Genomic DNA, 24,768 nt, shown 5'->3' with positions numbered 1-24,768 from the left:
AATGATACTGGAAAAGAATAAGCATAAAGCAAAATTTTGCATTTTAGTCTTGCTACATATGACAAATAAATATTTTTAACATATATATATATATATATATATATATATATATATATATATAAAATGTGTAACTCAGGTTAACTCAGACCACCTTCAGCTGTCTGTACTATTAATATTTTGCTTTTAAGATAAAGTGAAATTTGTCATATTTCATAAGGAAATTATGAGCCCCTTAACAAAAATGTGAAATCTCTCTTCTCAAGGGGGAAAAAAAGAGAGAAAAGGGAGGACAGACCAGTGAAACTATAAAAAATAAGCTATGATTTTTTTAAAAAAAAACCTCTTTAAAAGGCAGCATTCTTATGAATACACACTGTGTAATATTATACTCTGAAAACTCTAGGTATAAGGTCATTCAGTTGCCCCTCAAATTACTAATTTCTGATTATAGCAATACGAATGATGGGGATGCATATTTTGATCTGAAGAAAATTACACATGTGTATGCATGTATATGTATATAAGCTATGCCAAGAACAGCATTTAGATATTTTGCTTTCTTAAAACCAAACAAAAAGTAAATCAATCCAATTTTCAAAAGGAATGAGTAAAATTAGCCCTAAAGAAGACTAAAGAAGAATTGCCCAACAATGAGCCACTTGGATGCTAGACTGAGTCACCAAATCATATTCAGGCATCATCTCCATATAGAGAATGGCCCAGGATATGGTTCAAATTTGTGCCAAAATCTCATGTCTAATTGTAATCCCCAGTGTTGGAAGAGGTGCCTGGTGGGAGGTGACTGGATCATGGGCGCAGACTTTCCCTTTGCTGTTCCTGGAATAGTGAGTTCTCACAAGATCTTGTTTAAAAGTGTGTAGCACCTTCCCCTTCTCTCTCTTCCTCCTGCTCCGGCCATGTAGGAGGTACCTCCTTCCTCAACTTTGCCTTCTGCCATGATTGTAAGTTTCCTGAGGCCTCCATGAGGAGGCTGGAGAGCAGAAAGCAGCCATGCTTTCTGTACAGCCTGCAGAACCATGAGCCAATTAAACCTATTTTCTTTACAGGTTACCCTGTCTCAGGTAGTTCTTTATAGCAGTGCAAGAATGGGCTAATACAGCCCAACACTCTGAATTTATGATAACACTATTGGTGGTTGTGAAGTAGACAACAGAAGCTACTGCATACAAAACTGAATAAAAGTAATAGGGTGCAATTCTTCTTACTCTAGAATAAAATATACCCAAGATTATTAAATCTCACTCAGGTTAACTAAGCAGCTCCCTTTATCTTTGCTACTTCTAGGTCAGGACAAAAAGAAGCTCGTGCCATTTGTTTATAACAATCCCAAGTCCTTCAAATGATAGAATTAAACATAATATTTCAGAAGCCATTGAATGAAGAGAATAATTATGTAGTTCTTAAATAAATCAAATACCTTAATAAACCTGTAAGCTATAAGACATTTAAAAAATTATCAGGAGTGAGAAACACAGAATGAGATCATTACACTTAAATATCATCAAAGTATCTGGGGATAAGATTTAATGAGACAGACGTAGGCTGATATTTCTTCTGTGTGTACCAGTATCTTATCTTCCTTAAGACCAGTTTTGTGAAAACCAGAGGGCACAGACATTCAAAAACACCCTACTGGAAACTTTTGTAATAAATGCCCCCAAAACTGGTCATATTTTCAAACATTATAATATCTTGGAGATACTAAATAGTTATTTTCAATCTCTGTGGTTTCAAAATTACAAGGAGAATAATAGTTTTGGTTTTTGGTAGGACTCACCAATCCAAAAGAGGGAGGCAGGCAAAAATCACAACTGTTATAATAGCTGTCACTCTTCAATGTTTTCCCTTCTAGATTACACTCATTTTCTGAGACTCTTTAGGCCCTCAGAAGTAGAAAATAAATAGCTGCTGATGTCTGCTTTATTAAAAACACAATATAAAATAATTGATAAATATAATATAGTTGATAAATAGAACAGGATGAAGCCTATGGAGAAACACATTTTACTCTGAGGTCACAGAGAGAGGACACTAACTCTGAGGCAAACAGAAAGAACAAAAATAGAAAATCTACTCAAAATAAAGATCCCCATTCTATCCTTTTACAATGGAAATAAATCTTTTTTATATACGTAAGAAGGAGGGGAAAGGGATGCACACCAATTTTTTTGCACGTTTTCCTTCTGCTTTTATTGTACGTGAAATTATAATTAAACACAGGCTGAGTGAAGTGGGTTGCTGGTATGTTTCCAAATTCTACCACCCCTGAGCTGGAAGAGCAAATATGAAATGTGAAGCCTGGTTCTGCAAATGGCAAATTACATGCTGGAGTATTTGTGAGAAACTGCAATTAGGTATTTCACGACACCATCAGTCTACAGAAAGAACAAAAACAGCTCTTACTCTATGTGGTTTGGAGGGCTGGCTTTTTCAAAAAAAAAACTATACATATTCAATAAATAAATAGCTATTTACAAAGACATTTAGAGCCCTCTGTGGTTATGAAAAAGTAAGTGGTGAGTCTTGCATTTTCTTTGCATTTAGATTGTTTGAGGGAGGGAACATTTCTTATTTAACCATGCTGTCATAATATATATTCAGAGTGTATGCTTTCACATTGCAATTACCACCATAAAGGGCAACCACTGTAAATAAGTGTGGTAAAATGAAATACATTATCTTGTGTGAGGTTTTCTGGTTAAAACCTTTTCTAGTAATAGGATACCAAAATAACAACCAGATGAAAATACAAATGTGCATTATAACCTCTTAGCAGCTGTGCTTATATCCTTGGGTTATTTAGGACAAAAAGGAATCTTTCTGTCCTCCGTAGCATTTTTGCAATATTCTAACTCAAGAAGAAGAATGGTTTTCAGGGTTCATGGATAAGCAAACAAAATGAAACAAACAAAAAACACTAAAGAATTGTGAAAGAACTGAAAGAAGAGGATTGTTCCTAAGGCATAAAGAAGCATAAAAGGCTGGCTGAACTCTGTACACATCTTTACCCTTCCTTTGTAGCACTGCTTTTGTTCACATTAGAGATGCTAATTATTGCTCATTAGCATACATTAGCAAATGTTAATGAGTGTCTTCCAAAGAACAAAAGGCAGTGGGGGCAGGGTAGAGTCAGGGTGAAGGCTTAGCGGTGAGGGAGGGGCTACAACAGAAGAGAGACAAAGAGAAAAAGGAAATGAGAGCAATATAGAACTTAGATTCATAGTTTCCTAAAATTTAGAAGATCTATCTTCCTGACAAAATAGTAATAGCATCAAGAAAAGTGAAATAATTTACTTCATTTTTTCTATAAAAATAGAAAAAGCAAGTCATTAACTAGAATAAATCCATTTTTTTTCTGCTTTTTAGCTGTTAGGAGAAAATCACACTTCATAGGACTTGCTACCTAACCGGGAATATGAGTTAACACAGTCAACACTTAATGAAAAAGAATTCTGAATTCTAGTTATTCTCAATTCATCCTAATTTTTTCTCTCACAGACTCAACTTGCAATATTCAGGAAGACTAAACCTATATATAATTTGTATATGGCATGTAATATAATTAAAATAATTCACATAGAATGTGGTATACATATTAATTTATATCCTAGAGGAAGTTAGTTAATATTTGAGTACTCCAGTTAAGGATTGACAATGTTAGAATGGAGATTTAACACCTAAAATACTGGAATCAGGAGCACTTCAGCCATCTCTATCTTAGACTAGCACCAGATGGTTTGTTAGTTGGAACAATGCTTATTAGAAGTAAATTTTGTGAAATTAAATGTGATTGAGATGTGTGGATTTGCTAGAAATATTATTTCTGCCCCCGTCTTTGTATACAAAGGGTCATGTTAGCCTCAATAATCTCATTTTGGAATAGTAGGCACTGTACACCCAGGAATCCCAAATGGTTACTTGTTTTGCCATTTAATGGAGAATTTTTTTATCTGATAAGACCTCTGTGAAATAGGCATACTCCAGTTCCTGCCCATGAAAGGATCAGGGAAAATTTCCTACTTCATTACTATAGATTGAAAGCTTATGTTCCCCAAAATTCATATGTTGCAAGATAACCCCCAATACAATGGTATTGTTAGGTCATGGGATGAAACCTTCATGAATGGATTAGTGCCATTGTAAAGAAGACTCCAGAAACTTTATTCATTCTTTCTACCATATGGAGACACAGCAAATGGATGGCTGTCTATGAACCAGAGTGTAGGCTCTCACCAGACACCAAATCTGCCAGTAGTGCCTGGATATTGGATTTTCCAGCCTCCAGAACTATGAGAAATAAATATCTGTTGTTTATAAGCTGCCTAGTCTATGATATTTTGTTATAGCAACCAAACAGAGTAGGACAATTATATGTTGCACTCTGTACAAATAACAAATGCTCTTGTTTAAGTGAAGCCAGTTGGGCAATAGGAAACAGAAGAAGGTGGATGGGTTGGTAAGAAAGCAAAAGAGAGAGGGGCCTATAGACCTGGGCAAATACTCTGGAGTTAGGAAATAAAGGTCTAGAGAAAAAGAAAGTCTTGAGGGAGAAAGAGAAAACAGAAAATTATGTTTAATAACTTATGCTGAACTCAGTGAGATATTAAACACAAGCATGAAAAAACAAACCCATTTGTCCCAATAAAAAGATCGGTGTAAATATGAGAAAAGAATGGGAGACATGCATTGTCATAAGTATGCTTATGAATAGCAGGGGCAAACTGAAAGTCTTTGGGGTCAAACTTATTGGGGGCTTCAAAATGAAAGAACATTGATTAAAATAGCATGAATGTTAGAGGAAAACAAAAGAAAGAAACTAGGTAAATATAGACTTCAGTGGGATGGGAGTTGGGAATGTCACATACAAACATACTAAGAATTTTTATCTCAACACATAACATACTTGCTTGGCATAGACACTAAAGGTAACATTATTAGAATAAAGAAAAGAATTTATGTGTATGATTCCACTCCTGGGATCATTTTAGCCATGACTGTAAAATATTTTACATGAAGATTACAATCAGAGATTTCTAATTGTCTTATTTTCTGAAGAACATCAAAGTGAAAAGTGGTCAAACCATGTATCTCACAAGGGTCAACTAATTCCTGAGTGAAACTAATGACTTTATGAAAAACATAATAAATATAGTCTATAATAATAGAATTGAGAATATATATATACATACTGCATATAAACAAATACAGCTTTTTTAAAAAGCTAAAAATTAAGATCCTTCTTTGTGCCAAGTACTCTTATTTCATTTTATGCTTGTAATAATATAATATGATAGTTATTACTCACACTGCTTTACTGGTGAGAAACCTGAGGCTCACAAACATTAACTGACTTGCTAAAGTCTGCATAGTAAGAAAGTGGCAGAACTAGAATTCAAACCCGTAAGCATGAGTCTGAATTCTGAAACTCATATTCTTAAATAATATAATTCATTTTTGCTCTAAAATAGAATGTTGTCTTCAATGTGGAAATGGGAAAGCTATCTCAGGATACATATCCAAGATTTATCTGTGCCTGAGGAGACTGACTACTGAGATCAATAAATTCTAGTTAACTCCTTCATTCTAGCAAAGAAACTCTGAATAGACACGGGTCAAATGACTTGACAAAAATCATACAACCAATAAGTGGCATAACCAAGATTTAAATTCTAGTCTTCTATTTCCACCTCCAGGGTTGCTTTCATACCATGCTGCCTCAGTTACATTGATTGCAAAATTTTACCCAAAAGGTGTGAAAGTGTATTGTAAAATCAGCAATGAAAAATGCAAGCACCTCATTTCATGGTGAGTCTGAAATGGAACATGTACGTAGATCCAAATTCAAGTTCCTGCCATCAATGTTATTCTTTACATGGGTAAAGTTTGGTTAAAAACAATAAATATATAAAAATGAATGCACAGACACCACACTTTATTCATCAGGCTAAACACCATTCATATTACAGGATCTTGTTCAGAGTGTTAACACGGCAGATGCTCAATGGTTACTTGATCAATCAATGAGTTAAGCCAGCATGAATACTAAACAGGAACAGACAGGGAAGGTCAAAACATGAGTCTGCATTCAGAGAAAATCATATTGTCAAAAAAGGCAATCCCAACATTTTTCAGTTTGGGTTGTCAGAGTGGGGAAAAATGATAGGGTATTAATAATTGATTGTCTATATCTGAGTCATAGTCTAAGGATAATCTCATCTCTTGTCATTTAGTAAATATATATGGAGCACTTACTCCTTGCCAGGCCGGGTGCCCTGTATTGGAGAGAATGCACGGATTAGTAAGAAAGTGTGGAAGTGAATTTTATGTGTCTATTTGGCTGGGCCAAAGTGCCTAGATATTTGGTGAAAGATTATTCTGGGTGTGTCTGTGAGGATGTTGCTGAATGAGATTAACCTTTGCATTGGTAGACTGAGGAAATCAGACTCCTTCCCCTATGTGGGTGAGCCTCATCTAATCCACTGGAGGCCTGAAAAGAACCAAAGGCTGAGCAAGACAGAATTTTCTCTCTCTGCCTAAAGGTCTCTGAGCTGGGACATCTGTCTTCTCCCCTCTTCAGACTCTGAGTGGAACTTACACAATGAGGACTCCGGGTTCTCAAGCCTTTGGCCTGCAGATTTTGAGACTTTTTAGCCTCCATGAACCAGTTCCTGTGTGTGTGTGTGTGTGTGTGTGTGTGTGTGTGTAATTTCTGTTCCCCTAGAGTGCCCTGGCTAACAAAGGAAGTCTCTGTCCTCAAGATTACCTTGATGAAAGCAGTCAAGTACAATAAGAAGACACCTGATATAATTATTTAGTAAATTCCACCAGAGAAATACAGGCAAAAGACCTATGAGAGAGAAAGGGAAAGACAGAGAGAGAGATCAGGTTCATTAGGCAGTTTCAGGATATTTGCTTTTTGTTATATTTCTTCAAATGTTTCCAGAAACAGGCAGAAGATTAATCAATACACATAAACACACGTTTCAATACCTGATTTCCTTTGGATGAAATCTCAATTTCTTCAAGATCACGGCCATGGAGAACAGAGTTTGTCCTGACTGGCCTAGTACTGAGAAATACGAATAAGAAAGAAGGACTTCTGTTTATCTGGGTCCTGAGATGATTGCATTCATCCACAGAACTAGAAAAGTCAACTCAAGAGCTTTCAGGTTGTTGCCTGGCTCTAGGAGAATGAGCCTATGTTTTTGAGTCAGACAGAGACATGTTTGAGTTTTGGCTCTGCTACAGTTTTATGCCATCCTGTACTGTGGCTAATTTATTTAAACTCCCTATGCCTTAGTGAAAGGAAGGAATTGTAATTATTGTGTACGGTTGCTGTGAGAACTAAATATAATAATAAATACATGCAATATACTCAATACAGTGCCTGGTACAGAACAAAGGTTTTAATAGTCTACAAGGGCATTCAAATGCTTTGACACATACCAACACACAAATTTTTGGCATCTTTAATCTAAACTTTTAGGAAGATAAGGAAAACACAACTACTTTGAGCTTTTTCTTAATACCTTAGCATCTACAAGTAGAAATATCCCATAAGATTTAGTCTGAGATGATATTAGAAACCACTTCACCAAAAGATAAAGACTAGGCATAAAATATTACCCTAAATTGGTATTTATTAACTCTCTTGATACTCTTAACTCCAACGCCAATGTCTGCTCTTGATGATGTCAACCAATATTGAAAGAAGAGGCAGCCAAATTCAAACTTGCTGTGCTGCCTTAGCCAATGGTATGCTTCCCCATCCAATTTTTTCTTGTTACCAATTGGAGGATGAATTCTAGTCCATGCTCAGATTGATCAATAAACAAAGGACCAGCAGTCATTTTGGGTACTAGTCTTTCATTGCCACAGAAATTATAAAATCAGTTCCATACAAAGAAAGAGACAAGAGTCAATGGAGCCTAGATTGGGAGATTTACACGACTTCTCTCAGCCAGCTTCAGAATTCCTTTCCTTGTCAGTACTCTGGCATTCAGAGAACAAATTATTGTAATTGTGTGGCAACAGAAAAGACAAAAAGGCATGGGGTGGGGTCACTTAGTAAGAGCTTGACAGTCTGCCAAGTCTACTAGAAGCTGGGACCTTGTACTTGCTACCATATTCAGTATCCTGATTGTAAGTGATTTTTTTGTTTTCAGTCTAAAGAAATCAATTTCATCTTCATTAAATGCCAGAGGGTTGAGACTGTAATTGTAACTATTACATCATGCAGAGAAGGACAATGGTTTGAGATCTAAACCTAGACTTTTAGCAGCCAGATCAAAAGTAGGAAAGAAAGTTAACGTTGATGAAGAGAGACTCCTCTAAAGGAGCAACAAATACACGCAGGTGCTTTTAATTCACCATTATCCTTTTTTTCCCTCACATGGGATGGAATCACTTTGGTTATTGGAATAAGCCACATCTTAGTTTTAGACAGTAAGACTAGACTACACTAAACCCATTTTTAGAAATTCAATATCATATATTTTTCAGATGACAGGAGAAATGACTGAAATTCTATTAGTAGCCTCAGAAGCTACTTAGCCTCCCCGATGTGTTCATGTGTTCCCCAAGAAATGAGTTTGTAGCTCATACCCAGCTAGAATAGACCCTCACTTCTGGTTCTTCAAGGTGATCTTACCACTCAGGCATTCATCGAACTGTTCAGCTTCACATCCTGTCTCATGTGTCATGAAATCTTACTATATGTGTATGTGTGCATATGTGTGTGTGTGCATGAGAGAGAGAATTTTAAAGATTTAGTTGAAAGATTTCTGAGTCCTGGATTTATTTTCATACTTCTGCATTCTTCTTAAGGATCTTACAGTAAGATAGTTCCAAACAACAAATTGTCTCAACTGTGTGAGCTTGGTAAAGCTGTTTGCTCACCCTAAAACACAATTATCATCAATAGCCTGATGGCTTGATTTGAGATTAGCTTATTTTTTATTCATCAGCTCAGCCTGGCAGCAATGAGAGTATATTTTAATGGATTCCATGGACAAAGACCATCAATTTTCCTCTTCATTCTGTGGTGTTGAATTCTGCCACTCTCTCCAGACCTCTTCCCCTGTCTCCCAAATCCTGGAGGATTTCTAGCAGGGAAAGGCCAAGGCAATGGATCTCAAACTTTAATGGACATCATTATCACCTGGAGAGCTTGTGAAAACACAGATTCCTGGGCTTTGCCCACAGAGATTCTGGTTCAGTAGGTCTGGGATGGGCCCAGTAATTAGCTTTTCTAAAAAGCTTCCAAGTGGTGCTAAAGCTGCTAGTGGTTGGCAACCACTGTTTAAGGCATCCTGAGGGCACGGGGAAAGTTAATAAGCATCTGCTGCCTTCCTTTAGGAAACATAACTCTCATGACCTAGAAATTGTCTTTCTTTGTCTATCTTTATTTCAGTCTCACACTGTCTTGATTACTGTAGCTTTATAATGAGCTCTGAGGGCAAGTATATGTCTTCCAAACTTACTCTTCTTTTTCAAAGATAGTTTGCCTCTTGTAGGTCCTTTGCATTTTCATATAAATTTTAGGATTAGCTTGTCAAATTTTGCAAGCATTTTTAAAAGCCTATTGAGGTATTGATTGAGATTCTGTTGAATTATAGACCAATTTAAGGAAAATTAATATCTTCACAGTGTTAAATTTATCTAATTCACAAATGAGGTTTCCATTTATTTCTGCCCTCTTTAATTTCTTACAGCAATGTTTTATAGTTTTCAGTGTTCAAATCTTGAGCCACTTTTGTCAGGTTTGTTCCTAAGTACTTCATAATTACTTTTTCTGATATTTTAAATGATATTTTACAATTTTTAATTTCCGATTGCTTCTTGCATACAGTGGTCTGTAGTTTTGTTTTCTTGGAATGTCTTTTTCTGGTTTTGGATAGAGTAGCACTGGCCTCAGGGAGAGTTGGGAAATATTTCCTCCTCTTCAATTTCCTAGAAAAGTTTACGCAGAATTAGAATTACTTTCTCCTTAAATATTGGGTACAATTCTCTAGGGAAACAGTCAGAGCTTGGAATACGTTTTGTAGGATAATTTTTAACTATCAACTTAATTTCTTTAATAGATATACAGCTACTAAGATTATCAATTTCTTCCTGAATGAACTTTGGTAGATTGTGTCATATAAGTAATTTGTGCAATTTATCTAAGTTGTCAAATTTATTGGCCTGAGTTTTTTATCATATTATCTTATTGTTCTTTTACTATCTGTAGAATTTGTAATGATGCCACTTTTCTCATTTCTGTCTTCTGTATTAGATGAATAAATGTTATACTAAAGTTATTTATTTTTGGGTGCTACATATACAGTATGAAAAAAAGGAAATCGTTTCTTCTTGATAAATTCCTAATCAGTCTTGACCAGTGGTTTATCAATCTTACTGATCTGTATAATAACAAGTTTTGGGTGTTATTAAATTTTGTTTTGTTTTGTTTTTCTGTTTTCTACTTTATTGATTTCAGCTCTGGTCTTTAATACTTACTTTCTTCTGCTTATTTTGGATTTATTTGTTTTGTTTTTCTAGTTTCTTCAGGTAGAAACTGAGATCACTGGCTTGAGATCTTCTTTTCTAATATAGGTCTATACTATTATAAATTTTCCTCTAAATACTGCTGTTGTTGCATCTCAAAAGTTTTGAAATGTGTGTTTAATTTAGTTCAAACACTTTCAAATTTCTATTTTGATTTCTTATTTGACCCTGGGTCATTTAGAAGTATGATATTAGTTACCAAATATTTGGGGATTTGCCAGATATCTTTTGCTATTAATTTCAAACTTAATTCCACTGTAGTTACAGAATATACTTTGTATTAGCTGAATTATTTTAAGTCTGTTGAGATTTATTTATGGCCTAGAATATAGCATATCATGCTAAATATTCTGTGTTCTCTTGAAGAAAATGTGTATTCTGCTGCTTTTAGCTGATGTGTGTGTGTGCATATATATATACACGTGTGTGTGTGTGTGTGTGTGTGTGTGTGTGTGTGTGTGTTGCCCAGGCTTGTCTCGAATTCCTGAGCTCAAGGCCTGCCAAAGTGCTGGAATTACAGGCATGAGCCCCAAGCCTGGCCCCATAAATATTAATTAATTCAAGGTGATTGATAATATTTTGGAGGTTTTCTGTATCCTTACTGATATTTTTGTCTGTTTATTCTATCAATTATTCAGAAAAAGGTCCTGAAATCTGACTAATTAATTAATTAATATTTTATTAGTTTAAAATAGTATGTCTTTTTCCATCCTTTTATCTTTTACCTATTTGTATTTTTATACTGCAAGTGGCAATATTTTCTTATAGGCAAGATATAGTTGGATATGGGTATTTTATTCAATTAGACCATTTTTAACTTTTAATTGGGGTATTTAGGCCATTTACATTTAATATGAACATCTAAGTGATGAGTTTATTCTCTTACCATTTAATATTTTTGCAGATTGAATTAATTTAATTTTATAAGGAATTTAGAAACCATGAGAAAATATTTATATTTCATTAAAAAAACAAAGTCTGTACATCACTCAAATTTTAAAAGTCAGCGAGACAATAAAAAAAGTACTAAGTAATATGTTTCGTTTTAGAACAAAATATTATCAGTGGCTCATCATAACTGATATATGAACACAAAGAAAATGCTAAAAAGGTGTAAAACTGAATCTCAAAGTGATCCAGTTGGATGAAGGGAGCACCAGGTGTCACCAATGTGGGACTGCCATATATTCTACCAAAGGAAACAAACTACCACTAGGAGATAAAGATAAGCAAATAAATAAACTTGGGAAGAAAAGGATCCCACAATTCCTGGAATGTTACAGTAAATGGTTTATTTGTTTCTGTTCTTACATGTGTTTCATCTTTCTTCCTTTAAGAAATTAAGTGGATGTGTGAGGGATCCAAGCATATTTCCCAGTTATATCTTATTTTTTCAGTAAGGATAACTTTATATTGAATAAATAATGATTGATACTCCCTGTCATTTCAGCCACTGAATATACTATTAAAATGATTTAACAACTATACTATGCTTTGATTTTTTTTCTTTTTAAAAAACTGTAAGTCAAGAATATTTAAAGAATGAAAGTCTCTTAATTTAAAAAATATACAGTCATCCTTTGGTATCTGAGGGGGATTGATTCCAGGACACCCCTCAAGCCCCTCCTGTATACCAAAATTAATGGATGCTCATGTCCCTACCATTTAATTTTTATTTCTCCCATCTCTTCTTTGTTTTTGCTTTCCTCTTTCAGCCTTCTTTTGGATGAATTGACTTTTCCAATGATTCCATTTTACCACCTTTATGGTATATTATGTACAACTCTTTGTGTTACTATTATAAAGTGGTTGGTTTCAGGTGATGGGTATCAAGATATACTACCCCAAAATGTAACACCTTAGCATGTTAAATATTTTAAGCTGTATGAATTTGAGAAAACTGCAGAAGCAGGACGGTCACTCTGTTCTTCCCTGGCACTTCTCTGAAGCAGATCATAAGTCCCTCATGTGAGAGGTGCCCTCCCTATACCCAGAGAAAAGAAACATCCTTGTCTCTCACGACAAAAGGTCAAGGAGAAAAATCTGAACAAGCAAACCCAGCTAAATTTCCCCCAGTTTACTACCATTAGATCATAACCCCATTGTATTATATGCCCCATTATATTTCTCCATGACTATCCATTCTTCATCAAACCTACTATAAAAATACTCAGATCTGTTTCTTTGAGTCTTCTTTCCTTATGATGGCTACTGTGTCACATAACACTTATATTAAGTAAATGTGTATGCTTCTGTGTTATTAATCTGTTTTTTGTTATAGTGGCCTCAGCTGTGAACCCAGGATGGGTAGAAAAAGATATTTTTCTTTCCCTAAGAGGTTACAGTGGTCTTTAGTCACAGTCTCTCTTCAAGTGATACTACACCATTTCATACATAGTGTAAAACCTTATACCAGTATGTTTCCATTTCTTTTCTTACAGACTTTATACTACTGTTGTCATACATGTTTTGATGTTCATTAATCCTTCTTCTATATCTAATCTGCTGCGAATCCCATCTCGCTTATGCTTCATCTCAGATATTGTAATTTTCATCTGTACATATTTTATTGTCTTTTTATTTCTTCTGTGTCGTGATTTGATCTTTCCTCTAGCCACTTGAACATGTGTAATGGCTAGAGTTGGCAGTTATAATTAGCTCTTTGTTTACTAATTACATCATCTGTGTCATTGATGGGGCAATTATGTATAATTGATTTTTCTTGGAATTATGGGTATTTATTTTCATGCTTCTTTATATTCATGGTAATATTTGGTTGCATATTAGACATTATGAATTTTACCTTACTGACTGCTAGATATTTTCATATTCCTATAGTCTTCGGCTTTGTTCTGGTATATATTTAAGTTACCTGGAAACAGTTTTATCCTTTAGGGTCTCATTTTTTAAGTTTTGTTAGGATCAGAGCAACATTTGGTCTAGGACTAATTTTTTCTCACTGCTGAAGCAAAACCCTTCTAAGTACTCTACCTAATGTCCCATGAATTTCATGGTTTTTATACTCTTTCTGGTGGAAAGAGGAGCTATTCCCAGGCCTATGTGATTCTAAGGATTTGTCCCTCTAAACCTTTTCAGAGGTTCTTTCTCCAGCCACACACATGCACTGATCATGATTCAGCAGAAGAGTCAGCAGGAACACTACAGAAATCCAGAGCTCACTCTCTGTTCAGTTTTCTTTTCTCTGGAACTCTTTCTCATGAATTGCAGCTATCTTTGTACCTGCAGACTTTCAGGTCTCTCTCCTTAACTCAGAAAGAGCAATAGTTTCCATTCGCAACCCTTCTCTCTGCACCCTGGCCTGGAATCTCTCTCCAGGCAGTAAACTGGGGCAATCACAGGCTCACCTAATTTGTTTTCCCTCTCTCAGAGGTCATTATCCTTTGTTGTCTGAGGTATAATGTCTTGAAAACTGTTGCTATATATATCTTATCCAGTTTTTATTTATTTCACATAAAAGAGTAAATTCAGTATCTGTATTTCATCTTAACCACATTGAGAAATCTATTTGTGCTAACTATTCTAGAGGTCTCTAAGATAAGTTCTTTTTTTCAAGTCATATGGAAAAAAAAAAATGAGTCAAGAGACTAGCTATCTCTTACCCTTTCTCTTTTGTTTCACATCGGCTCATCCCCAGGTATGTGAAATCACCAATTTTAAGAGAAGGGTTATATCAATTATGCATTGTTTAAATAAAAATAACATTTATAAATATTTCAATGACATGCAGAAATGTTTATGATAGATGTCATACAAAAATATCATTAAAATTCTACAGATTATAAAGTTAGAATATCTGAAATAAATGTCTTCTGCAAAAATAAATTAATTAAAAGCTGAAATGAAATATGCCAAAATTTTTGCAGTCATATCTAGATGATGAGGTTGTGAGATGTTATTTCTTTTCCTTTAGATATTTTCTGTACTTTGTAAATTATTATAGTACATTTTTTTTTCTTTAGATAGAGTCTTACTCTTTCGCCCAGGCTGGAGTGCAGTGGTGCAATTCCAGCTCACTGCTACCTCCGCCTCCCAGGTTCAAGCGATCCTCCTGCCTCAGCTTCCCGGGTATCTGGGATTACAGGCGCCTGCCGCCACCTCACCCAGCTAATTTTTGTATTTTTAGTAGAGACAGGGTTTCACCATATTGGCCAGGCTGGTCTTGAACTCCTGACCTCAGGTGATCTGCCCCACCTCAGCCTCCCAAAGTGCTGGGATTACAAGCGTGAGCCACTGCACCCAGCTGTATTATCTTTTAAAAGGGCAAAATTGTGTTATGTTTTTGTTTTCTAAAAATGAGTTGTAGGGAGACAAAAACTGAGAGAAAATTTTGAGGAAAATATACAGAAGGTCTGAAGTTACTGCTTAGCTATTTCTTTAAGTATCTCACACAAGCTGTTCTTTGCTTGACCCTGGCAGTTATAAAACATAGCCCTGTGTCTCTATGAAGAAGGCCTGGATTATAAAATATCATGAAAAAACAGGAATCGAACATCCAGAATTTAGTAAACATTATTTTAATCCCACAGTATTAGGAAAAAAGGAGCCAATGCCATAAAATATTAATAGTGCTCTCTTCGATAGAGGCTAAAATGTTCTATCTTGTAATAGAGCTCAGGACCGGACTTTTAGAGGAAAATGATGAAAAGTTTAGAGAGAAGTGATGGCAAAGGGTTCTAGTTAATTAACTCTACTCTCTCTTGGTTACCAAATTAAGGGAACTCAGTTGGACTATTCTATTCTTAGATCAGGTTCATGTGATGATCCTCATTGTACAGAGAAGAAAACAGAAGCAGAAAGAGCTCCAGATAATTCACTCGTTAATTCACTCAATCAACAAGAATACACTTAGTGTCTATGGAGACAAAGCACTAAGAGGGGCTGTGTGGTTCAGCTGAAGGAGCACAGGATTATTCTCAGAATCAGACAGACCTGCGTTCAAAACCTAGCTCTGCCTCCTCAAAAATTATGACCAGACAACTTTTTAACCTTTCTGACCATCAGCTTTCATTTCAACAAATTATGAAAACAAATAACATCATAGGAATGTTGTGATCATTAAATAAGTTAAATGCTAAAACCCATAAGTAAAAATATTATACACTAGGCATTGCCTGATATATAAAAGGCACTCGAATCTATACTAATCTAATGAAATCTGGAGAGCTATAAAGTAAAAAAGGATATTTTTCTTTTATTCCAAAATGTCACAATCTAACTAGGAAAAAAGATATTAACAAGTAAAATGATTGGTGTGAGGTAGAATATAACTAAGTACTGTGATTTTTAATGTCAAAGATAGGAACTGAGAGAAAGAAGACATTCCAGGCAGCTGAAAATGAAGAGAGAAGGCTGAATGAAAGAAGTAGACTTAAATTGAGTCTCTAGATGTAAAGAGGTTAGAAGTCATCACTCCCATCCTAAGAAGAAAAACGCTGAACAAACTGGAAATCAATGGCTCTTCTTAATTCTGCTGACAGAATTGATAGAGAGAAAGGATAGCCTCATTGAGGTAAGAAGAGGCAGGGATTTATAACAATAGGTGCTGTTGTCTGACTGTTTTACTGCTAAGCAATTTAAAAATTGCCAGGATTAAAAATGCCCAGAGTTCTCAGAGAAACCCAACTGGTGCGTGTGTTATTATCTCAATTTTAAGCAGACTAAATGAATAAGTCCATTTAAAAATGGTGAATTGTATTTATGTGTTTGTTGTGACTACATCCCAATATCCAACTACATTTGGTAGTGAAAGAATTGTAAAAGGTATATATACCAACAAGACAAAAAGGAAGGAACATGAGCAGGTGAGAGATTTCTACATCTTTTTGAAAATATGAAAACAAGGAAGAGATTTTTGGTTTATCCAGGAATAAGAATGTAGTGAGCTGGCAACCAGGAAGAAGGAAGCTGACTTACATTGCAGAATCTAAGGATCAGATTTTAGAGGTTCTGGGGAGGGAAAGGGCAGTGAAGAGACACGGGGTAGAAAATTCACTGAACCCGAAAGTCAACCTGGAATTTCCTTTGCCACTCTCACCTTACTGAGGATGCAAAAGCAGCCAGAGATGGAGAAACCCAAATCTACCAGTTATCACTAGTTCCCCTACCCTGCTTTATTTTCCTCAAAACAGTCACCATCTGACATTACTTTTTTTGGTTTTTGGTTGTTTTGTTTGTTTGTTTGTTTTGAGACAGGGTCTCACCCTGTCACCCGGGCTGGAGTGCAGTGGGGAGATGTTGGCTCACTGCAACCTCTGTGTCCTGGGCTCAAGTGATCCTCCCACCTCAGCCTCCTGAGTAGCTGGGACTACAGGCACACGCCACCATGTGTTTCGTTTATTGTTTGTTTTGTTTTGTTTTGTTTTGTTTTGTTTTGTTTTGGTAGAGATGGGATTTCCCTATGCTGCCCAGGCTGGTCTCAAACTCCTGGGCCTAAGTGATCCTCCCACCTCAGTCTTCCAAAGTGCTGGGATTACCAGCATGAGGCCACCACGCCTGGCCGTGACATTATGTTATCTACTTATTTGTTAATTGATCCACTGTTTATTTTCCCCACAAGCAAATAAGCTTCTGGGAAGGCAGGGGCTTTGTTGGTCTTCAACTCTTTATTGCCCATGCTTGGCAAATAATAGGCACTCAGTCAGTGTTTGTGATATGAATAAATGAGTGACCCCAGCAATAATATTAACAATAGTTATACTGTACAAGAGTGACATTAGATGGTAATTTCCTTCCAGTCTCAGATTTACCACATTTCCCCCTGTGTCTTGGGGCCTTTTGGTTAGTATAGGAAATTTGTCCAAGAGGAAGGAATAACATTAGCAAAGTCACAAAGAAGAAGGAAGTACAAGGCATGAAGGGAACAGAGATTTGCCAGGCTAGATTAGAACCACCTCTGTAGAGTGCTCCCCCAGTGTCCTTAGAGAAGGTCCTATATTACTCATTGCATCTCTCATGCCTCTGAATATTAAAGCACTTTTTCTTCCCTTTCCTTCCTTTTTTTTTTTTTAATAGAGACAGGACAAGGTCTTGTTATGTAGTGCAGGCTAGTCTCGAACACCTGCCCTCAAGCAATCCTCCCGCCTTGGCCTCCCAAAGTGCTGGGATTACTGGCGTAAGCCACGCTGCCTGGCCTCAAAGTATGTTTTAAATCTAACTATTATAAACCTTTCCTTTCAAAATTTCTGATATTTTAATTTGCTGCCTTCTCACTAAAACATTTATGTAGTCTGGTAGCTCTGCTTTTCACATAACCCAAGCTCCTCCATTCAGAGAAGATGCAACCAAAGGCCATGGAGGAACTGTGGAGGGAACTGTGAGCCATGTTCTCCACTTCTGAAAGCCATCATGCAGGTCATTCTTCTTCATGGAGAAAGCAAAGTTCACTTGCTTGTGAGTGGGAAAATGTTCCCTCCCAGAAGCTGGTGTTGGTAGTGCATACATCTACAGCCTTCACCTACATCTAAATATACATCAGGAGAAATTTAGTAGGCAACAAAAAGCTAAGCAGAATTTTAAAATAAAGCAAACTAACTGAAGGCCTGTTAGATTAATCTCTGTAAACTAAGGTATCGTGATGCCAGACGTAACATTCAGGTCTCCTGACTAGAGCCTGAGTCACCAGTTGTCAGACTTGTGAATTCCAAAGAGGAGCTTGCCCTGGTTTATTTCAGCTTGCCAGGGCTTCCACCCATCCATCCCAGGCCATTGGAATGCAGTGCTAAAGCACCCTGGATTTGATATTCTATGTGTGAAATATCTTTGTACCACTTTCTGTAGCAACCTATCTAAATCAGTCACCAAATCTAAAAATAGACATTCTTCCTTAAGTTATGGCTTTGAGTCCATATAACCAATGGAGGAAAATAGTGCCAGAGTCCAACCTTTTTTTCTAACACCTCCACTAAGCAGGAACTAAGAAAAGGAGTGGGGACCTAGACTAGAAATATCTCTTCTTATACCCACCTGAAAGCAGCTCTCAGAAGATGTCATAAAACCAAGGTTCACACCACTCATTATTCAAGTACCTCATACAATTGACCATCCACTCAATAAATACAGTCACGTACCACATAACGACACTTCAGTCAATGACAGACCACATACACAAAGGTGGTATCATAAGATTATAAAGGAGCTAAAAAATTCCTATTACCTACTGACATTGAAAGGGGAGAGTTCCCTGATACCCCTTGCAGACATGTGGAAGGGGTGTGGCTCATCTGTTGCGCAGTCACTGCTGTGCAAGCCTGTTATAGGAGAGGGAGCATGTAGACAGATAGGTGCAGGAGCCAGGGCGAGCACTTTTGGGTTCCCATCCCACGGTGGCATCTAGGGGTGTGTGCCTGTGACTCTCAAAGCCCCAGTGGGTGTGCTACAGTGCTCTTTTAGCTCCGCCATCCGCAGATGGCTTAAGTGTTAACCAGCTCAGTGCCCTCTTGGTACCCAGGTTCTTGTCCAGTGTCCAGGAAGAATCAAGTCACACATGAACTTGAAGGATGGTGAATGTGAGGATTTTACTGGGTGATGGAGGTGGCTCTCAGCAGGATGGGTGGGGAGCTGGAAAGGGGATGGAGTGAGAGATGATCTTCCCCTGGAGTTTGGCTGTCCTGCAGCTGATCTCCTCTCTGACCATCCCCATCCAAACTCCTCTTGACATTCAGATGCTCCTTCTCTTCTCTCTTTCTCTGCAGCACCACTCTTCTGCTCCTCTGCTCTTCTGTTTGTCTGCTCATCTGCTCATCAAGCCTGGGATTTGGGGTTTATATGGATACAGGACAGAGGGGCATGGCAGGCCAAAAGGCAACATTTGGATGCACAAACAGGAATGCCTATTCCCATTTAGGACTGCAGGTTTCCAGGCTTGGGAGTAAGGCTTTTGCCAGGGAACTGCCCTCTTCTACCCAGTATTTCCCTGTCTCCTGTTTATATCAACATGGTAGCTCTGGTAATGTCATAGATCAACACATTACTCATATGTTTGTGGTGATCCTGGTGAAACACACCTACTGCACTGCCAGGCATACAAAAATGTAGCACAATTAGGTATAGTACATAATACTTGATAATGATAATAACCGACTCTGTTACTGCTGTATTTATTTACTGTACAATACTCTTAATCGTTATTTTAGAGTGTACTCCTTCTACTTGTAAAAAAGGAAATTAACTATAAAACAGCCTCAGGCAGGTCTTTCAGGAGGTATTCCAGAAGAAGGCATTGTTAACACAGGAGACGAGAGCTTCGTGTTATTGTCCATGAAGATCTTCCAGTGGGACAAGATGTGGAGGTGGTGGATAATGATATTGATGATCCAGAACCTGTGTAGACCTAGGGTATTGTGTTTCTGTCTTCATTTAAATTAAAAAGTTTAAAGGGAAAAAATGAAAATAGAAAGCACTTATAGAATAAGTATATAAAGAAAATATGTTTGTACAGTTGTACAAAGTGTGTTTTATGCTGTTATTACAAGAGTCAAAAGTTCAAAAAAATTAAAAACTTCAAAAAGTAAAAAACTTATAGTAAGCTAAGGTTAATTTGTTACTAAAGAAAGAAAAATATTTTTAATAAACTTAGTATAGTCTAAGTATATGGTGTTTATAAAGTCTACAGTGAAACCACCTTTGCAAACGTTAACAGTGACAAAATTATGACAGTGAAAGAGATCTAAACTAACAGATTCCATCTTGTTTCTAACCTCCAAGCTGCCCTTGTCCATTCCTGGGGACAGGTCCAACTAACTTTGGGAGGAACTTAGTTTATAGTTTAACTTTGAAACAAAGATGATAACAGCCCTTTCCTTAAATAAACCCCCTTCTTTCCTGGGGACTAGGCTGCCTTTGTAGGACTAACAAATTAGCCACAAGATTTGCAACTTCCCCAATTACTCCTGCAAATAACATCACTATTACAGAACCTAAGATTGGTCTTTTGAGATGTCTTTTCAGGTTTTTGCATTTCTGACAACTGGTGGCCCCACCTGGACCCACCAACCAGTCCTGTGGCCCCACCAAGAAGCAAATTCTAACACCTCCGCTAAGCAGGAACTAAGAAAAGGAGTGGACTTGAGAAATGCATGAGGACCATTTTCCACATCCCTATGATTGTATCTCCAACCAATCAGCAGCACCATTCCCTGGCCCTTCAAACTATCCTTGAAAAACCCTACCCTCTGAATTTTCAGGGAGACTGACTTCAGTAATAGAACTCTAGTGTCCCATTCAGCTGGCTCTGTATGAATTAAACCCTTTCTCTACTGCAATTCCTGGTTCTTGATAAATTGGCTGTATCCAGGTAGCAGGCAAAATGAACCCCTTGGGTGGTTACAAGAATATATCCCAGTTGTTAAGCAACACATGACTGTATTTATTAAGTCTTAACTCTTGTTGTGACAGTAGGGATACATGTTATAAAAAGTTAGCCATATCCCTGCTTTCCAAGATTTTCTAGTATAATCATTAAGATAACTTACATCCTGAAATTTCTGGAGGAGTGCTGATTACAAGTGTTTTATGGCTAAGATATATTGTTACAGAATTTTTCATTTTTTTCTTGAAAAAGCAACAAAAGTTTGAATCTGCTGTTTATTAATTAGTGAGCACACTTGTTTTCAAATCATTTAAAAAACACAAAACAAAATCCTTTAAATGCTATTAAACATCAAAATATAAAAGATGAGATCTGATACACGCAAAAACTTCCTAAAGAGACAGAATGGCTCCCAGGGCAGAATAAGCAGCCAAAATGATGGTATTGATACACTTAAAAAGAGGCCAGGCACAGTGGCTCACACCTGTAATGCCAGCACTCTAGGACGCCGAGGCCAGTGGATTACCTGAGGTCAGGAGTTCGAGACCAGCCTGGCCAACATGGTGAAACCCTGCCTCTACTAAAAATACAAAAAAAAAAAAAAAATTGCTGAGTGTGGTGGCGCACATCTGTGATCCCAGCAATTCAGGAGGCTGAGGCAGGAGAATCGCTTGGACCGGGGAGGTGGAGGTTGCGGTGAGCTAAGATCGTACCACTGTACTCCAGCCTGGGTGACAGAGCAAGACTCTATCTCAAAAAAAAAAAAAGAAAAAGAAAAAGAAAATGTGTCAAAGGAGATGTAGTAGTTGGAAAAAGAAGCACAGGAAATGGCAAGTGAAAGAAGAGACCATGTTAGTGCTTATTAAATGTTACCCAGTGGAACAGATCCAGATCCTGGGGAAGATAAGCCCTTCCAATGTTTTTCCTTCTGTTGGCAAAACTGGAATGTTCCATCAGACCTAGCTGAACTATCCCTCGAGTCTACCAACCTGTTTTGCTCTTGATCAAGGGCTCTCCAAGCAACGCTTGCATCATAATCTGGTTCCCCATGTAGACTTTCTCTAGGCTAACAATGTGCTGGTCAGCAGACACAAACCAGCTATGAGTTTAGCAACTACCCAACTGACCACAACAAACTCACCTCATCCTTGGACTTTTTCAGATTTGCAACCTAACAAAATGTAATTTAATTTCAAAAATTTGTTTTAAAAAGTATAAAAGGAAACTCAAAATTAAGCAAAATTATCTGGCCAAGTGTTTCAATATTTAGTCTAGAAAAAAGTGGTCAGTAGTCATATAAGGAACATAAATAATATCTCCATGCCAAAGCACTTGGAGATGAGTCACATGTAACTGGTGCATACTTAATACCACAGAAGTATGAAAGGGAGAAACTATGTCTTACTGAGGAAATCCAGGAAAGCAACACAGAGGAGGCAGTAATCAAGTGAGGCTTGAAGAATGAGCAGAGTGATGATAAGCAAAGACCTAGAGAGGCTAAGGTGATTGCTCCAGTCAAATAAAATGTAGAGGGTGGAAAAAGTGCTGGGCATGCAGGCAAACAGTTTAGATGTGGACTTAAAGTAAAACTAAGTTTAAACGGTAGAATAAGATGACACAGCTGCTTGAGAAGTATAAATGCCACATGGCAGCAATGCAAAGCCATCTAATCTTTATAATAAAGAGGAAACATCATGGAGTGAGACTCTAGGAATCAGGCAAGGCAAGAAAACATGATCCATGGCTGAAAACTGAAAAGCATAATTTTAACTCCCAATCATTTACATTCTTTTTGTTTGTTTGTTTTTGAGATGAGTCTCGCTCTGTCACCCAGGCTGGAGTGCGGTGGCGTGATCTTGGCTCACTGCAACCTCTGCCTCCCAGGTTCAAGCGATTCTCCTGCCTCAGCCTCCCAAGTAGCTGGGACTACAGGCGCGTGCCACCATGCATGGCTAATTTTTTGTATTTTTCTGGTAGAGACAGGGTTTAACTGTGTTAGCCAGGATGGTCTCGATCTCCTGACCTCGTGATCCGCCCGCCTCAGCCTCCCATACGTTCTCGTATAAGGTATTGATAATTTCCATCCAAATACTTGGATGAATGCAAGCTAAAATGAAAAGGGAAGGACAAGGGCTTGAGAGTACTGGAACCTGGATCAGAATGACATTATTGTAATACGGGGAAGCCACAGGAGGATACAAACTTGGGATACTTCGTAATTTTGACTGGGTCTTCCAAGCATCTCCCGCACAGTTCAGGAGATATTTTTGCAAGAAGAGCCTTGTCTATTCATATTGCCATAAAGATATGAAAACCTAGAATACATCTATTTTCTACTAATTCAGTAGAAGGTTATTATGGCCAAGATGTATCTATATGCAAAATCTTCTATGTGCAGTCTGAGAAACTCTGGAATGCTCTGAAAAAATTTTTGTGCATTTGGAGGAGTTGGAACAGATGTAGAAAGACAAGAAAACTCCTCTCTTCTTTGAATCAAAAATAAAAGGTTATTTTTTTCAAATGCAGATAGAATTGAAGGAGAAAATGCTATTTTATTACTCATTGCCTCTCCAAAACCTGTTGTTTAAGAACTGGACAGCTGACCTGAATGTAGAGTTCAAGGAAAAGGAAATACATTTGAGGTAGAGAATTCAATTTCTCAAACTCACCATGTGTGAAGCCTCAAGCTAGTTGCAAATTTAACTTGCATACAATATTGTCCATGAAGTGAAAAATCAGAAAAATAGTCACTATTGCTGAGAAGTCTGTTTAATTGTTCATTACCCAGGAAGTGTCATGGTGCTTCATAAATGAGGGATCCATATTCAGTTCACACTTTAAGCAAAGGAGAACATTAACATCAAAAGGGTATGAAGCCACTTCAATCCACACAGTGCATTGATGATCCTCCTCCTCAAGGAGAAGGACAGGCAGGAGGAATAAGGTAGACTATTAGCACTCAGGGGTAGAAAATGATGTCATATTAGGCAGTCATTCTCAAAGTTAGAAAGCAATGATTTTGAACTCTGTCATCAGCAGTTAAGGCTCAGGAATCTCAAACAGAAACCCCGACTAACATCAGATCATCAGCAGAACAGAGTGCACAAAAGAGTGGATTAGCTGCCCCATTAGAAATTCTTTAGTTCTTTCTCATAAAAGTTCTAACGAGTTACCTTAAGAGGAAGAACTAGATATCTTATTAAAACCTGCTATGTGCCCTACTAACTATAATTATAGTTCAGTTCAACACATGAAGGATATTTGTTTAAAGAGTAAACAAACTCCACATGGTATTTGTTTGTTTGTCTGTTTTTGGACACAAGGTCACACAGGGTCTTGCTCTGTTGCCCAGGCGGGAGTGCAGTGGTGCAATCTTGACTCACCACAGGCTCCCCCTTCCAGGTTCAAGTGATTCTCATGCCTCACCCACCCCAGTAGCTGGGACTACAGGCACATGCCACCACACCTGGCTAATTTTTTATTTTTAGTAGAGATGGGGTTTCACCATGTTGGCCAGGCTGGTCTTGATATCCTGGCCTCAAGTAATCTGCCCACCTTGGCCTCTCAAAGTTCTGGGATTATAGGCATGAACCACCACTCCCGGCCCAAACTCCATCTTTAACCTGGCTCCACTGAATTTCACTTTTCCACCCCTGGATAACATGGCAGAAGATCCTGTAGCTTTCTTGTTATTTTCAGTTGCAGGAACCACCTCATTTTGAGAATTCAGATTCATTTTCAGGTATTCAAATATCCAGTCCAGTCTATATTAAAACTGTAATCTCACATCCTATTCCAAGCTCCTCTCCTCTACCTACTCATGCCAGGAACTGAGGCTTGGAGACCTAAGTGCGGAAGTGAATATAGGCATC

General features: G+C 37.3%; 1 protein-coding gene across 2 annotated transcripts in view, besides 1 other annotated feature; it reads right to left on the bottom strand.

The window, feature by feature from the left end:
- TMC1 (transmembrane channel like 1) overlaps nucleotides 1-24,768 on the bottom strand; it is a 316,690-nt gene that overhangs the window by 154,443 nt on the left and 137,479 nt on the right. The window lies entirely within an intron of this gene.
- Nucleotides 2,585-3,360: an enhancer, noted in NCBI's record as "OCT4-NANOG-H3K27ac hESC enhancer chr9:75295411-75296186 (GRCh37/hg19 assembly coordinates)". NCBI's record gives its function as "activates a minimal SCP1, AML or CMV promoter by ChIP-STARR-seq in naive and primed H9 embryonic stem cells {active_cell/tissue: H9 hESC(naive and primed)}" and the evidence as "EXISTENCE:reporter gene assay evidence [ECO:0000049][PMID:30033119]".

Source organism: Homo sapiens, chromosome 9, assembly GCF_000001405.40.
Source record: "Homo sapiens chromosome 9, GRCh38.p14 Primary Assembly".
Classification (NCBI taxonomy): domain Eukaryota; kingdom Metazoa; phylum Chordata; class Mammalia; order Primates; family Hominidae; genus Homo; species Homo sapiens.
This window is presented reverse-complemented; position numbering and strand designations above follow the sequence as displayed.